The sequence below is a fragment of the Homo sapiens genome, chromosome 10 (genome assembly GCF_000001405.40).
Source record: "Homo sapiens chromosome 10, GRCh38.p14 Primary Assembly".
In the NCBI taxonomy this organism is placed as follows: Eukaryota; Metazoa; Chordata; class Mammalia; order Primates; family Hominidae; genus Homo; species Homo sapiens.
Genome location: NC_000010.11, coordinates 68792411 through 68806937, shown reverse-complemented (window position 1 = coordinate 68806937; position 14527 = coordinate 68792411). Strand labels below are relative to the sequence as shown.

At 42.9% G+C, this 14527-nt stretch overlaps 2 annotated features.

Moving 5' to 3' along the window:
* Positions 4880-5049: an enhancer, noted in NCBI's record as "experimental_16897 CRE fragment used in MPRA reporter constructs". NCBI's record gives its function as "activates a minimal promoter by MPRAs in K562 erythroleukemia cells, with activity observed for both the introgressed and non-introgressed 10:70561731 variant alleles {active_cell/tissue: K562}" and the evidence as "EXISTENCE:reporter gene assay evidence [ECO:0000049][PMID:34662402]".
* Positions 13935-14104: an enhancer, noted in NCBI's record as "experimental_16893 CRE fragment used in MPRA reporter constructs". NCBI's record gives its function as "activates a minimal promoter by MPRAs in K562 erythroleukemia cells, with activity observed for the introgressed 10:70552676 variant allele {active_cell/tissue: K562}" and the evidence as "EXISTENCE:reporter gene assay evidence [ECO:0000049][PMID:34662402]".

The following is a 14527-nucleotide window of genomic DNA, read 5'->3' as shown; positions in this document are numbered from 1 at the left end:
CCTGCACCTTCACTTCATAGTAGCTGTGGCTACCCTTTTGATGGAGGTGGGAGTTTTCCCTCTATTTTGTTATTTTTTTTATTTTTAGTGGGTTTGGATGGAGAATAGTGAGCAAAAAGAACTTTATTTCACAATTTTTCTCTTTTTGATACAGGGTCTTGCTCTGTCTCCCAGGCTGGAGTGCAGTGGCATGATCACAGCTCACTCCAGCCTTGACCTCCAGGTTCAAATGTTTCTCCCACCCCAGCCTCCCAAGTATCTGAGACTACTGGCACACACCACCATGCCCAGCTAATTTTTAAATTATTGTAGAGATGGGGTCTCACGATGGTGCCCAGGCTGGTCTCACATTCCTGGCCTCAAGAGATCTTCTGGCCCCTATTTCACATTTTTTACATTGATATACCATTTCCCAACGCAAATGTCTAGCACATTCCCTTGCCAGGCCCAGAATGAAGATGTCTGCCCTCTTAGCTTTCATTCATCCACTCTTCACCCTCAAATGTTTTACCTAACTCAATTGGTGGCTGAGCACAGTGGCTCACGCCTGTAATCCCAACACTTTGGGAGGGTGAGGTGGGCAGATCACTTGAGGTCAGGAGTTCAAGACCAGCCTGGCCAACATGGTGAAACCCTGTCTCTACTAAAAATACAAAAAATTAGCTGGGCATGGTGGCGCCCACCTGTAGTCAGTTGCAGCTACTCAGGAAGCTCAGGCACAAGAATCACTTGAACCCAGGAAGTGGTGGTTGTAGTGAGCCAAGATCACACCACTGAACTCCAGCCTAGGTGACACAGCAAGACTCCGTCTCAAAAAAATGCAAAAAAAAAAAAAACCTCAATTGGTTGTGAAACAGCAGTGTAGATGCTCAAAAATAAGTTTCTGATAGTAACCATGTTAAGGCACTAGAAATACAGTGTGAGCAAGAAAGGAGTGATGAAGTTATTGCAGAAGTGGCAACAAATCAGTTTCTTTCTTTTTTTTCTCTTTTGAGACAGCGTCTTGCTCTGTCGCCCAGGCTGGAGTGCCGTGGCGCAATCTCGGCTCACCGCAATCTCTGCCTCCTGAGTTCAAGCAGTTCTCCTGCCTCAGACTCCTGAGTAGCTGGGATTACAGGTGTGCACCACCACACCCAGCTAATTTTTGTATTTTTAGTAGAGACGGGGTTTCACCATGTTGGTCAGGCTGGTCTCAAACTCCTGACCTCGTGATCCACTCGCCTCGGCCTCCCAAAGTGCTGGGATTACAGGCGTAAACCACCACGCCCGGCCATCTTTTTTCTTTTTTTTTTTTTTAAAGACGGAGTCTCACTGTGTCACCTGGACTGGAGTGCAGTGGTGCAATCATGACTCACTGCAGCCTCAAACTTCCGGGCTTAAGTGATCCTACCGCCTTGGCCTTCCAAAGTGCTGGGATTACAGGCGTGAGCCACCACACTTGGCCAGCTACATCATTCTTTTTTTTTTTTTTTTTTTTTTTTTTTTGATACAGAGTCTCACTTTGTCGCCCAGGCTGGAGAGCAATGGCACGATCTCGGCTCACTGCAACCTCCACTTCCCAGGTTCAAACGATTCTCCTGTCTCAGCCTCCCAAGTAGCTGGCATTACAGGCACGCACCACCATGCTCGGCTGTTTTTAGTATTTTCAGTTGAGACAGGGTTTCGCCATGTTGGCCAGGCTGGTCTTGAACTCCTGACCTCAAGTGATCTGCCCACCTCGGCTTCCCAAAGTGCTGGGATTACAGGTATGAGCCACCGTGCTCAGCCTTACATCATTCTTACACTGGATCTATCCTAAACTATTTTTCCAAAAATAGGACAGCCTATCAAAGAATAATTTTTAGTAAAATTCTCTGAATTCCACTTCATTATGAAAAGGATCAAAAATATTTTGTCTTTATTTGACACCTATCATGATAACTAAGAAGAGCAATCTAAAATTTTAGATTGTTTATGAGGCGGGGGAGGGTCTTCAGTTGGTATTACATGGTTCAGCCAGGAAACATTCTTCTAAGTGTATGTGTGACCTGAGGTAAGTCACCACTGTTCTGGTTCATTGCCTCAGTGTTCTCACCTATGAAGTGGGCAGATGAGGAAAAGCCATATCATACAACATCCAAAGATGATTGAGTGAAGCATAATTTAGGGTGAGGGTTGGTTTAAGACAGGGATAAAATAATACTAAATAAAGATGATACATTATACTATGAAACATGTTTTATAAGTTCAAAACTTTTTATATCCATCTTGTAATTATATCTTATTGACAGAAAATTCCAAAGTTATGTCATAATAATTTTTTCTTATCCCAAACTTATTAAAGTTCTATCTTTCATCTGTCATGCTCTCAATTAATATTTGGGTATATCACCATTTTCATTTGAGAGACTGCATTGTTTTGAAGGTAGTTAGCAAAGGTATGAGAATCTTTGCCTTAACCTGAAAGAATATGCTTATCTATGGAATTATATGTATTAAGTAGGGATAATATACATTGGCTCAAAGCAATTTACATTAAAAAGTTAATATTAAAAAGTCCCTTTACGTATGGAAGACATTTTAAGCTGGACAAGACTAGGGCTAAGAACAGTACAAGACAGGAGTGGCTCTAACTCCGCAGCTTATTAGGCTTTCAACTCTGCTATTTTAAGACATTTAATGAAGAGTTTTACCATCAATATAAGCACCATTAAATCACAGCTGGCCTGAATCAACTTTATTTTATTATTTTAAGCATAGAATGAAGTGAGAAATTGGATTCTTCTTAAATTTTTTATTGGAATGAAATCTGTTTTAGCAAGCCAGATCAATCAATTAATCTACATTGACTAAACCCCATATGCTATACCTTTATTAGGTTCCTGTCTCTTATTCTTTTTTTTTTTTTTGAGATGGAGTCTTGCTCTGTTACCAAGCTGGAGTGCAGTGGCGCGACCTTGGCTCACTGCAATCTCTGCCTCCCTGGTTCAAGTGATTCTCCTGCCTCAGCCTCCTGAGTAGCTGGGACTACAGACGCGTGCTACCACACCCGGCTAATTTTTGTAGTCTTAGTAGAGACGGGGTTTCACCATGTTGGCCAGGATGGTCTCCATCTCCTGACCTTGTGATCCGCCCACCTCGGCCTCCCAAAGTGCTGGGATTACAGGCGTGAGCCACTGTGACAGGCCTTTTTTTTTTTTTTTTTGAGACAGAGTATCACTCTGTTGCCCAGGCCATAGTCCAGTAGTGCAATGTTGGCTCACTGCAACCTCCACCTCCTGGGTTCAAACGATTCTCCTGCCTCAGCTTCCTGAGTAGCTGGGATTACAGACACATGCCACCACTCCTGGCAATTTTTTTTTTTTTTTTTTTTTAGTAGAGATGGGGTTTCACCATATTGGCCAGGCTGGTCTCAAACTCCTGACCCGAAGTGATCCACCCGCCTCAGCCTCCCAAAGTGCTGGGATTACAGGCATAAGCCACCACACCAGGCCCCACATGGGAAACCTCTTATTCTTACTTTATATTATAGAGATGGGTTTCTGCCATGTTGCCCAGGCTACTCTCGAACTCCTGGGCTCCAGCAATCCGCCTGCCTCAGCCTCCCAAAGTGCTGGGATTACAGGCATGAGCCACCGCACCCAGCCCCTCTTATTCTTATGCTGTGACACTTCAACCTCTTACTTTTTCCAGGTGTCATTTTGGATATAGGTATATTAACAAAGTAACTGCCATCTCTCTCTATAATCAAAACAGAAGTATATATGTGACTTCATAATCTTGGGCAACTGAATCTAATGAAGTAAAGACTTTAAAACCTTTGCTATCCAAGCACATAAATATTGGCTCCCAGGAAACAAGAGCTGGTTTGCTATTAAAGAAAAATCTTTTTTTTTTTTTTTTTGAGACAGAGTCTTGCTCTGTCACCCAGGCTGGAGTGCAATGGCACGATCTTGGCTCACTGCAACCTCCACCTCCCGGGTTCAAGTGATTCTCCTGCCTCAGCCTCCTGAGTAGCTGGGACTACAGGTGCGTGCCACCATGCCCGGCTAATTTTTTGTATTTTTAGTAGAGACAGGGTTTCACCATGTTAGCCAGGATGGTCTCGATCTCCTGACCTCGTGATCCACCTGCCTCGGCCTCCCAAAGTGCTGGGATTACAGGCGTGAGCCACCGCACCCGGCCTAAAGAAAAATCTTTAAGTAATAATTTATTTACAACAAATCCTTAATAATTTAAAATAAGAGTACTGCTGAAGCAACACTGAAAGCCTGGGAAAGCAAGACGTTTGTGAATCATAGATTATTACCTCTGGGCTTCCGTTTCCCAAGGTGATCTTTATGCAGACTATTGGAGGTCCCAGCTACTAAACATGACCAAACCTTGTAACAGAAACAAACTGTGGAGCTGAAGGCTTAGCTTTGGAATATCAGACTTCTCATTTTATTCCAAATTCTGATTTCTTTTTAAGAGACTAGGTCATATTATGTTGTCCAGGCTGGAGTGCAGTGGCTATTTGCAGGTGCAGTCATGGTGTGCTATAGCCTTGAACTCCTAGACTCAAGTGATCTTCCTGCCTCAGCCTCCCAAGTTCTGGGACTACAGGTGCATGCCACCACGCCTAACTGCAAATCCAGAATCTTATAGTGACGGTTGGATGGTTCTCTTCTAGAAATAACAACTCAAAGATTGCACATTCATCTCCTGGAAACATTTTTTTTTTGAAATGGAGTCTCGCTCTGTTGCCCAGGTTGGAGTGCAATGGCATGATCTTGGCTCACTGCAACCTCCACCTCCCAGGTTCAAGCGATTCTTCTGCCTCAGCCTCCTGAGTAGCTGGGACTGCAGGCACTTGCCACCATGCCCAGCTAATTTTTGTGTTTTTAGTAGAGATGGTGTTTCAACATGTTGGTCAGGCTGGTCTCGAACTCCTGACCACATGATCCACCCGCCTTGGCCTCCCAAAGTGCTGGGATTACAGGCGCGCACCACCACACCCAGCCTCCTGGAAACATTTCTAAAACCCAGGTGAATACGCCTCCTAAGTTTTCCAAGCTGGCAAAAACTCTGGGATAAGTAACAGATGGATTTGGGAAATTGCAAAAGTGTAGCCCAAAGCTAGTATAGTTTATGCCTTATAAAAGAATGGCTCAGAGTAGTTTTTCCTTTAATTAAATATTTATGTTATAGCCAGAAACAGCAAGTGGTCTTTGTGTGGCCAGGACTGGCTTACAATATGTCCATCTATTTAAGAAAGAAAATGAATGGCCATGAAATATTAATTCTTTACGTGTTAACAGTAGATTCTGCTCTTTCTCTGCCTGAAGGCAAACAAAAAGGCTAGAGATAACCAATGAGCTGCATTTGGAAACACACTTTAATAAAAAGACTGGGAGGGCAGGTTTAATTAGGAAGTGGATCTGAGGTTTTAGTGAAGCCAGATGATGAAAAATATTAAGCCCTTTACCATTTATCTGGGGGACACGAAGGTGAACTTTTTTACTTTAGTTGCATTTTCTCATCTTTAGAATGGGGAAAATAACATGAGATGACCAATTTTCATGAAGCTTAGATTACTAACTGCTATATCAATTTTCCAAACTCTTACATGACCCTTGCAAAGGGTAATCTGTTGCAGCAAACTAATCTCAAGTATAATTTTGTTTTTAGTTTTTCTTCAATCTGAAAATTTAGAACTGATCGTGAACCAGAGCATGCAAATTCCTCTTATTTAGTTTTGTTATATTTTATTACACAAATTTACTTTTTTTAGAGATTGGGTCTTGTGATCTTGCCCAGGCTGGAGTGGAGTGGCATGATCATGGCTCACTGTGACCTCCGCCTCCTGGGCTCAAGTGATCCTCCCACCTCAGCCTCCCGAGTAGCTGGGACTACAGGTGCACACCACCATGCCTGGCTAATTTTGGTACTTTTTGTAAAGATAAGGTTTCACTATGTTGCTCAGGCTGGTCTCCAACTCTTGGGCTCAAGCGATCTGCCTGCCTCAGCCTCCTAATGTGCTGGGACTATAGGTGTAAGCTACTGCACCCGGCCTAGATCAGTATTTTAATAACCTGCATTTGATGGCTTAAAGTTGTTCCCTGAACTTAATATTAAGTTTAATTTGCCTGAACTGCTAGAGCAACACTGCAATATCAATTATTGTTGGAACTAAATACATGTATGTATATATGTAATGAAAGGCAAAATTTGCACTTGGTTTTGGAGCTCAGAAAACTTTTCAGGGCAAAGGCCATGAAAATACAAATTCATGCTAATTAATTTTTTTAAAAGGGGGTGTTGAAAAAATCTAATTCTGACATTTAAATTAATCCCCCAAATTTGAGAACCTAGAACAAAGTTCATACCAAGAGGTACCCTCTTAACCACATGTTAATAATGAAACTGCAGTCGTGCAATAAAGGAGAAAAATTAAAGTGATGAGAAAAATATGGCATTCTTTGATGTTGAGTCTAGGACACATGGGTTCTAAAACTGCTGAATTGGAAAGGCATCTGCTCTCGACATTGTAAAACAATGCCAAGAGCTAAATATTTAAAAGGTAATTAGAATATCTAAACCTAGGCTTGGAAACATTTTTAAAGCTTAAATACCTAAAAATAACTGTTTCAAAATAGCCACTTAGAAGTATGAGTGAAAAAAAATCCCATGAGATTTAGGCCAGAAACTAGTTACACCACAAAAAGATTTTAGCCTTGGAAGGAAGCTTTCCTGATATATTCATGCACTTTGCATGAACAATTTTTTTTTCTCTTAACACACAATTCACAAGTTTAGGATCTCCTAAATAAAACACACTTTTTTTTTTTTTTTTTTTTTTAAACACGGAGTCTTGCTCTGTTGCCAGGCTGGAGTGCAGTGGTGCGATCTTGGCTCACTGCAACCTCCACCTTCCGGGTCGAGTGATTCCCTTGCCTCAGCCTCCTAAGTAGCTGGGATTACAGGCGTGCACCACCACGCCTGGCTAATTTTTTTTATTTTTTTAGTAGAGACAGTTTCATCATGTTGGCCAGGATGGTCTAGATCTCCTGACCTCGTGATCTGCCCGCCTTGGCCTCCCAAAGTGCTGGGACTACAGGCGTGAGCCACCATGCCTGGCCTCTTTTTTTTTTTTGAGACATGGTCTCGCTCTGTCAACCAGGCTGGAGTTGCAGTGGCACAATCTCGGCTCACTGAAACTTCCACCTCCCTGGTTCCAGTGATTCTCCTGCCTCAGCCTCCCAAATAACTGGGACTACAGGTGCACACCAGCATGCCTGGCTTATTTTTGTATTTTTAGTAGGGACGGGGTTTCACCATGTTGACCAGACTGGTCTCAAACACCTAACCTCAAGTGATCCTCCCACCTCAGCCTCCCAAAGTGTTGGGATTGCAGGCGTGAGCCACTGTTGCCCAGCCACGAACTCTTTAAAAGTATTAGTTTTGTTTACTGGTCTTGAGCTCACTTATAAGCAAGAGTACTGCTGGATCAATGTCGAATGCCCAGGAAAGCAAGAAATTCATGGATCGTAAGTTTTACCTCTGGGCCTCAGTTTCCTGAGTTGATCTTTATCTGCAGACTAGTGGAGGCCCTAGGCAACCAAGAGCTAAATGTGACCAAGTCTGAAAACAATAAATTAACTGTGGAGCAGAAGGTTTATCTCTAGAATAGTAAGATTCTTATTTTATTCCAAATCCAGATTTACTCTGAATTTGATTTCACTCAAGTTGAAATTAAGTTGGCTCACACTAGCGAACATTAATTGAATATATTAAAATACTTAGATTTTATTAATAAAAGCTCTGAGCTAATCCAAAACTGTGCCTAACAATGTTTACCACACCAATGGATTTACAATTAGTTTCACTGTACTTAATATAGTGTGATCCGAAATGCCACCATCACCAAGCTCTAGTCCTCACTCAAAATCTGTATGGATGAGCCTCTACTTTGGTTCTTGGCTTTTTTTTTTTTTTTGTGAGATGGAGTCTCACTCTGTCGCCAGGCTGGAGTGCAGTGGTGTGATCTTGGCTCACTGCAACCTCTGCCTCCCGGGTTCAACCAATTCTCTACCTCTCCCAAGTAGCTGGGATTACAGGTGCCCATCACCATGCCAGGCTAATTTTTGTATTTTTAGTAGAGATGGGGTTTCACTTGTTTGGCCAGGCTGATCTTGAACTCCTGACCTCGTGATCCACCCACCTCGGCCTCCCACAGTGCTGGGATTACAGGCGTAAACCACAGCGCCCGGCTAGTTCCTGGCCTCTTGCCAAGTTGTCTGCTGAATTTGGGACCCAGGCTTGAATCCTGCCTCCTCTGTGGTTAGAGCCTCAACAGTGCAAAATCCTCTCTACTTTAGGGGGCTGGACTGTGTCTTCATGGCTCTGCCACTGGCTGAGGTGTAATTCAAGCGGATAAACTTCCCTGGAACTAAGATGATAATCTGTGTGATTTGTAGTAATACGGATACTGGATGGACTACCATTTCCTCAGCACCTACCAGATTAGACACTTGGATAGTAAAATTAGACTGTATGCAGGTCTCTGGACTGTTAGTCACCCCTGGGGAGGGGGACAGCACAGTTAAGATAATTCCCTTTATCATCAGTCCAACTATTTACCAACATACTCTACAATTCCTTCATTCCTATCCCTTATAACTCCAATATGCCTCAAGGGAAAGCTATACATCATTCTGGTAAGTTACCATCCCAGAAGGACTTGTGGGAAAATAGGGCTCCCTTCTTTGGTACATAGTAAAGGTATTTATGAAAATGAGAGACTAGAAGCAGCTTTGACATAATTTTTGCCTGAGAAACTAAAGCATATGGAAATATCTGGTTGTGCCACAACATCCAGCTGATATGCAGTTTCAAAAGATCATACCAACTTTAATAAATATTTCTCATCCCCCCTCCCAAAAAAATTTCCCATCCTGCATATTCCTAAAGAAGGTAAAATTAAATGACAAATTTGGCTGGGCGCAGTGGCTCATGCCTGTAATTCTAGCACTTTGGGAGGCACAGGCGGCTCAATCACTTGAACTCAGGAGTTCGAGACCAGCCTGGGCAACAGGGAGAAATCCCGTCTCTACCAAGAGTGCTGGGATTACAGGCTTGAGCCACTGCACCGGGGCTAAAATCTTTTTTTAAAATGACCAGATCTTGCCTGCCTGTAATCCTAGCACTTTGGGAGGCCAAGGAGGATCACTTGAGGTCTGGAGTTCGAGGCCAGCCTGGCTAACATGGTGAAACCCCATCTCTACTAAATATACAAAAATTAGCTGGGCATGGTGGCAGGTGCCTGTAATCCCAGCTACTTGGGAGGCTGAGGCAGGAGAACTGCTTGAACCCAGGAGGCAGAGGTTGCAGTGAGCCAAGATCGTGCCACTGCACTACACCTTGGGCAACAGGAGTGAAACTCCATCTCAAAAAAAAAAAAAAAAAAAAAAAAAAAAAAAAAAAAAAAAAGAATAAAAAATTTAAGTGACTATCCTGCAGGTATAGACTTGTATTCATTCATTTAATAAGTATTTCAGTGTCAATTATGGCTTATCCAATGTAGTTTTTTTTTTTTTTTTGAAACAGGGTCCTTGTTGCCCAGGCTGGAGTATGGTGGCATGATCATGGCTCACCACAGCCTCAGCTGCCCAGGCTCAAGCATCAAGCGATCTTGCCAGCTCAGCTTCCTGAGTAGCTGGGACTACAGGCACTTGCCACCACGCCTGGATAATTTTTGCATTTTTTGTAAAGACGGGGTTTCACCATGCTGCCCAGGCTGGGCTTGAACTCCTGGACTCAAGCATTCTGCTCCTTGGCCTCCCAAAGTGCTGGGATTACAGGTGTAAGCCACCATGCCCAGCCCAATGCCGGATTATCTATCCCTGAAGAAAAAGCTCTAATGGTTCAGGTAGTGTCTCCAAGGCCATTTACTCTTCTCTATTTAAAAAAATCACGTATTAACTAGGGAAAACTGCTCTAAGTTTTCCCTAATTAGAACACCTTAGTTAGGAGGTTCTCCAAGTGGGTTTGCTTAGACCAGCAATAGCAGCAGCAGCACGTGGGAACTTGTTAGGAATGCAAATTCTTAGGCCCTAACCCAGACCTGGTGATTCAGACACATACTTGTTTGAGAACCTGCATTAGATTAGGCATAATGATCACATTCAGACCACCATTAATAAGGAGCTGACTCAGTACTTAAGTAGTACTCCACCCCTCTATACACACAAGAAAAACCAAGTGCATAATTTATGTCAAAAGTACTCTGGGACTCTAAACTTAATCTTCATTCATGTGTAAGCCTGAGGCTCATTTTTTAACTAGTGAACACCAAACGCAGGTCAATATTATCCACAAGATGAATGATAAATAGGCAGTAACTCTATGTTCCAGTTTGCCTCCTGGTTATATCTCGTGTTATGACGTAGTTATTCCTGGCACCTTTCTTTTCTCTCTAAAGGTTCCCAGTTTAGACAGTAAGTTATTGGCTACATATTGGGAGACAGAGGTGGAAGGATCACTAGATCTAGGTCAAGCCTGCCATGAGCCATGATTGTGCCACTGCACTCTAGCTCAGGCAACAGAGCGAGACCCTGACAGCTCACTGCAGCCTCCACCTCCTGAGATGCAGTGATCCTCCTGCCTCAGCATCCAGAGTAGCGCCTCAGCCACTGTGCCTGGCCCACCCATCCTATGAATAAAAGATAAAATAGAGGCTGGGTGCAATGGCTCACACCTATAATCTGTGCACTTTGGGAGGCTGAGGCAGGCAGACTGCTTGAGCTCAGGAGTTCCAGTAGCCTGGGCAATAAGGGGAAACCCCGTCTCTACCAAAAATAGAAAAATTAGGCATGGGCCAGGTGCAGTGGCTCATGACTATAATTCTAGCAGTTGGGGAGTCCTAGGTGGGTGAATCACCTGAGCTCAGAGAGTTTGAGACCAGCCTGGGCAACATGGTGAAACCCTGTCTCTACTAAAATACAAAAACAATTAGCTAGGCATGGTGGCATGCACCTGTAATCCCAGCTACTCAGGAGGCTGAGGTGGAAGGATCACTTGAGCCCGGGAGGTGGCAGTTGCAGTGAACTGAGATTGTGCCACTGCACTCCAGCCTGGGTAACATAGCCAGATACTGTCTCCCCCCCCAAAAAAAAAAAAATAATAATTAAAACAAGAGTAAATCACTCACAAATTTGGAGCTCTTTTATAAAAAACAAAAATATTAAATACGGCAGTAAACTATATTAATATTGAATCCTGAAAAATTCTCACCATTTCACTAAGCCTCATTTAACAAAAATAATTTGTGTTCTTACACAATATTTTTAACTCCAAAATAATCTGAACATAAAATTAGTGGGAAGAGGTCAGGCGCAGTGGCTCATACCTGTAATTCCCGCACTTTGGGAGGCAGAGGTGAGTGGATCACCTGAGTTCAGGAGCTCGCGAGCAGCCTGGCCAACATGATGAAACCCCATCTCTACTAAAAATACCAAATTAGCTGGGCGTGGTGGTGAGCGCCTGTAATCCCAGCTACTCAGGAGGCTGAGGCAGGAGAATCGCTTGAACCTGGGAGGCGGAGAGTGCAGTGAGCCGAGATTGCACTACTGCACTCCAGCCTGGGTGACAATAGCAAAACTCCGCCTCCAAAAAAAAAAAAAAAAATTAGTGGGAAGAATTAAAGTGGGCAAAATTTCCTTCCATAACCCATAGCACAGCAGCTGCATTGCAGTCAAACAAGGAAATGTGCTGTACCTTACAAAGCACCTTTTATGGTGCCTCTAATTACTGTGTACACTTTTTTTTTTTTCCTTGAGACGGAGTCTTTTTCTGTCGCCCAGGCTGGAGTGCAGTAGTGCAATCTCGGCTCACTGGAACCTCCACCTCCCAGGTTCAAGCGATTCTCCTGCCTCAGCCTCCTGAGTAGCTGGGACTACAGGTGCGCACCACCATGCCCGGCTAATTTTTGTATTATTAGTAGAGACGGTGTTTCATCATATTGGCCAAGCTGGTCTCGAACTCCTAACCTCATGATCCGCCCGCCTTGGCCTCCTAAAGTGTTCGGATTACAGGCGTAAGCCACCGCACCTAGGCTACTGTGTACATTTCAGTCCTTTGCCTAAAATCTCTACATGCTTCTGGTATGTGATGATGCCTGCTTTGATTCACAATCTATAGGATGTCACATCACTAGGAGAAAACTTACATAATTTCTGACAATGAAAACAACCTCAGATTATCTCAGACCCACAAAAAAATTCAAAGCCACGTCAGTGTTAACTTGTGGACTGCAAATGACTGATTAAAAATAAAGGGCATGCCGTGCTATCAAGAGGCTTCATCAAAAGAAGTAGGGAAGGAGTGTCCATTCTACTCTATGTATGTTAACGTCAGAGTGCTCTGAAAGCCCTTCAGTATCACGTAAATCCCTAACAAAACATACAGTAACCACTGTAATATTTTTTGACAATTCTAGCCAGTATTTAGATCTATAGCTAAGGCTCTCAAGGGTCATTTATCACCCAGATCAGAGAAACTCATGTGGCCTAGACCCAGCCATCCACTGAATGAATATACAATTATTTTCCTCTGGAATTGCCAACAATACCTATTTAGGTACCTTAAAAAAAAAAAAAAAGTAAGTTTTCTTGCTCTGTTGCCCAGGCTGGAGTGCAATGGCTCGATCTTGGATCACTGCAACCTCTGCCTCCCGGGATCAAGCCATTCTTCTGCCTCAGACTCCCAGGTAGCTGAGACTACAGGAATGCACCACCACACCTGGCTAATTTTTTTTTGTATTTTTAGTAGAGACGGGGCTTCACCATGCTGGCCAGACTGGTCTTGAACTCCTGACCTCAAATGATCCGCCTGCCTTGGCCTCCCAAAGTGCTGGGATTACAAGCATGAGCCACTGTGCCCGGCCAAAATCAATTTTTCTGTGTGCAACTTGCTTTTTTCCTTAGTCATCTCAATTTGTACTTCCAAAGATATTATTTTATAAGAAATTTACCCCTAAGTAACAATGTGATTGAAAGGTTCAGTCTTTTTCTCTGTCATCCCAATTTTATTCTGATTTAAATTTATCTGGAGGAAAAAAAGTCTCACAAATGTACTTTATATAATGTTTCTTATTAACAATATACTCTTTTCAAGGAACTCTATCATTACTGTCTTTTACTATCATCACTGTCTTTTAGTTAAAAGTTTATCTTCAAGATTGTCCCTTGAAAAAAAAAAACACTTTGTGGGCCAGGCACGGTAGCTCACGCCTGTAACCCCAACATTTTGGGAGGCCATGCTGGGTAGACCACTTGAGGCTAGGAGTTTCAAGACCAGCCTGGCCAACATGGCAAAACCCCATCTCTACTAAAAATACAAAAAACTTGGCCGGTGTGGTGGTGCATGCCTGTAATCCCAGCTACTCAGGACGCTGAGGCACCAGAATTGTTTGAACTCGGGAGGTAAAGATTGCAGTGAGCCTAGATGGCACCACTGCACTCCAGGCTGGGAAACAAACACTTTATCTCAAAAAAAAAGAAAGAAGGAAAAAAACCATTTTCAACAACTGTTTCATCTCACCTTAAAGATGAAGGAAATATTTATATCATAATTATGTAATAATTATAGATCAATCTCTAATCTGGTTTTGGAGAAGGTTAACAAGCCATATGACCACCAACAGTAACTTAAGACAAAAATTGGTCTAAAAGAATTTGAGGTATTATAATCCATTTTTTAGTAATAGCCATGTGAATTCCATTTAGCGTAAGTCACATATAAATGGCACTTTACATTTTCATATTCATCTATTTGGAACACCTAGCCATTATTCTAACAAAATAAAATAAAACAAAATGAAATAAAATAAACTCTAGGCCGGGTGCAGTGGCTCATGCCTGTAATCCCAGCACTTTGGGAGACCAAGGTGGGTGGATCACCTGAGGTCAGGAGTTCGAGACCAGCCTGGCCAATGTGGTGAAAACTCATCCCTACTAAAAATACAAAATTAGCTGAACATGGTGGCAGACGTCTGTAATCCCAGCTACTTGAGAGGCTAAGGCAGGGGAATCGCTAGAACCTGGGAGGCAGAGGTTGCAGTAAGCCGAGATCAAGCCACTGCACTCCAGCCTGGGTGACAGAGCGAGACTCCGTTTCAAAACAAAATAAAACAAAACTCTAATACACCATATATTTATATGACAGTGAAACATTCCAGTAATGGATTCCATTAAGTTTTCACTAGTAAAACTTGGAAGACAAAATGTCATTTAACTTTACATTCCTTTAGAGCAGGGTTTCTGAAACTGGACACTATTGACATTTTTGGCTGGATAATTCCTTGTTGTAGAGGGCTATCCTCTGCAACAAAGGATGTTTAGTGATATCTTTGGCCTCTACCAACTAGATGCCAGCAGCACCCACCCAGTTGTGACACCAAAAAAACCTCATTAGACACTGCCAAATGTCCTCTAAGGGATAAATTCACCCTCTGTTGAGAACCACTCATATTTACTACCGTTTTTATTCTACAGTTAAGTCACCTCAT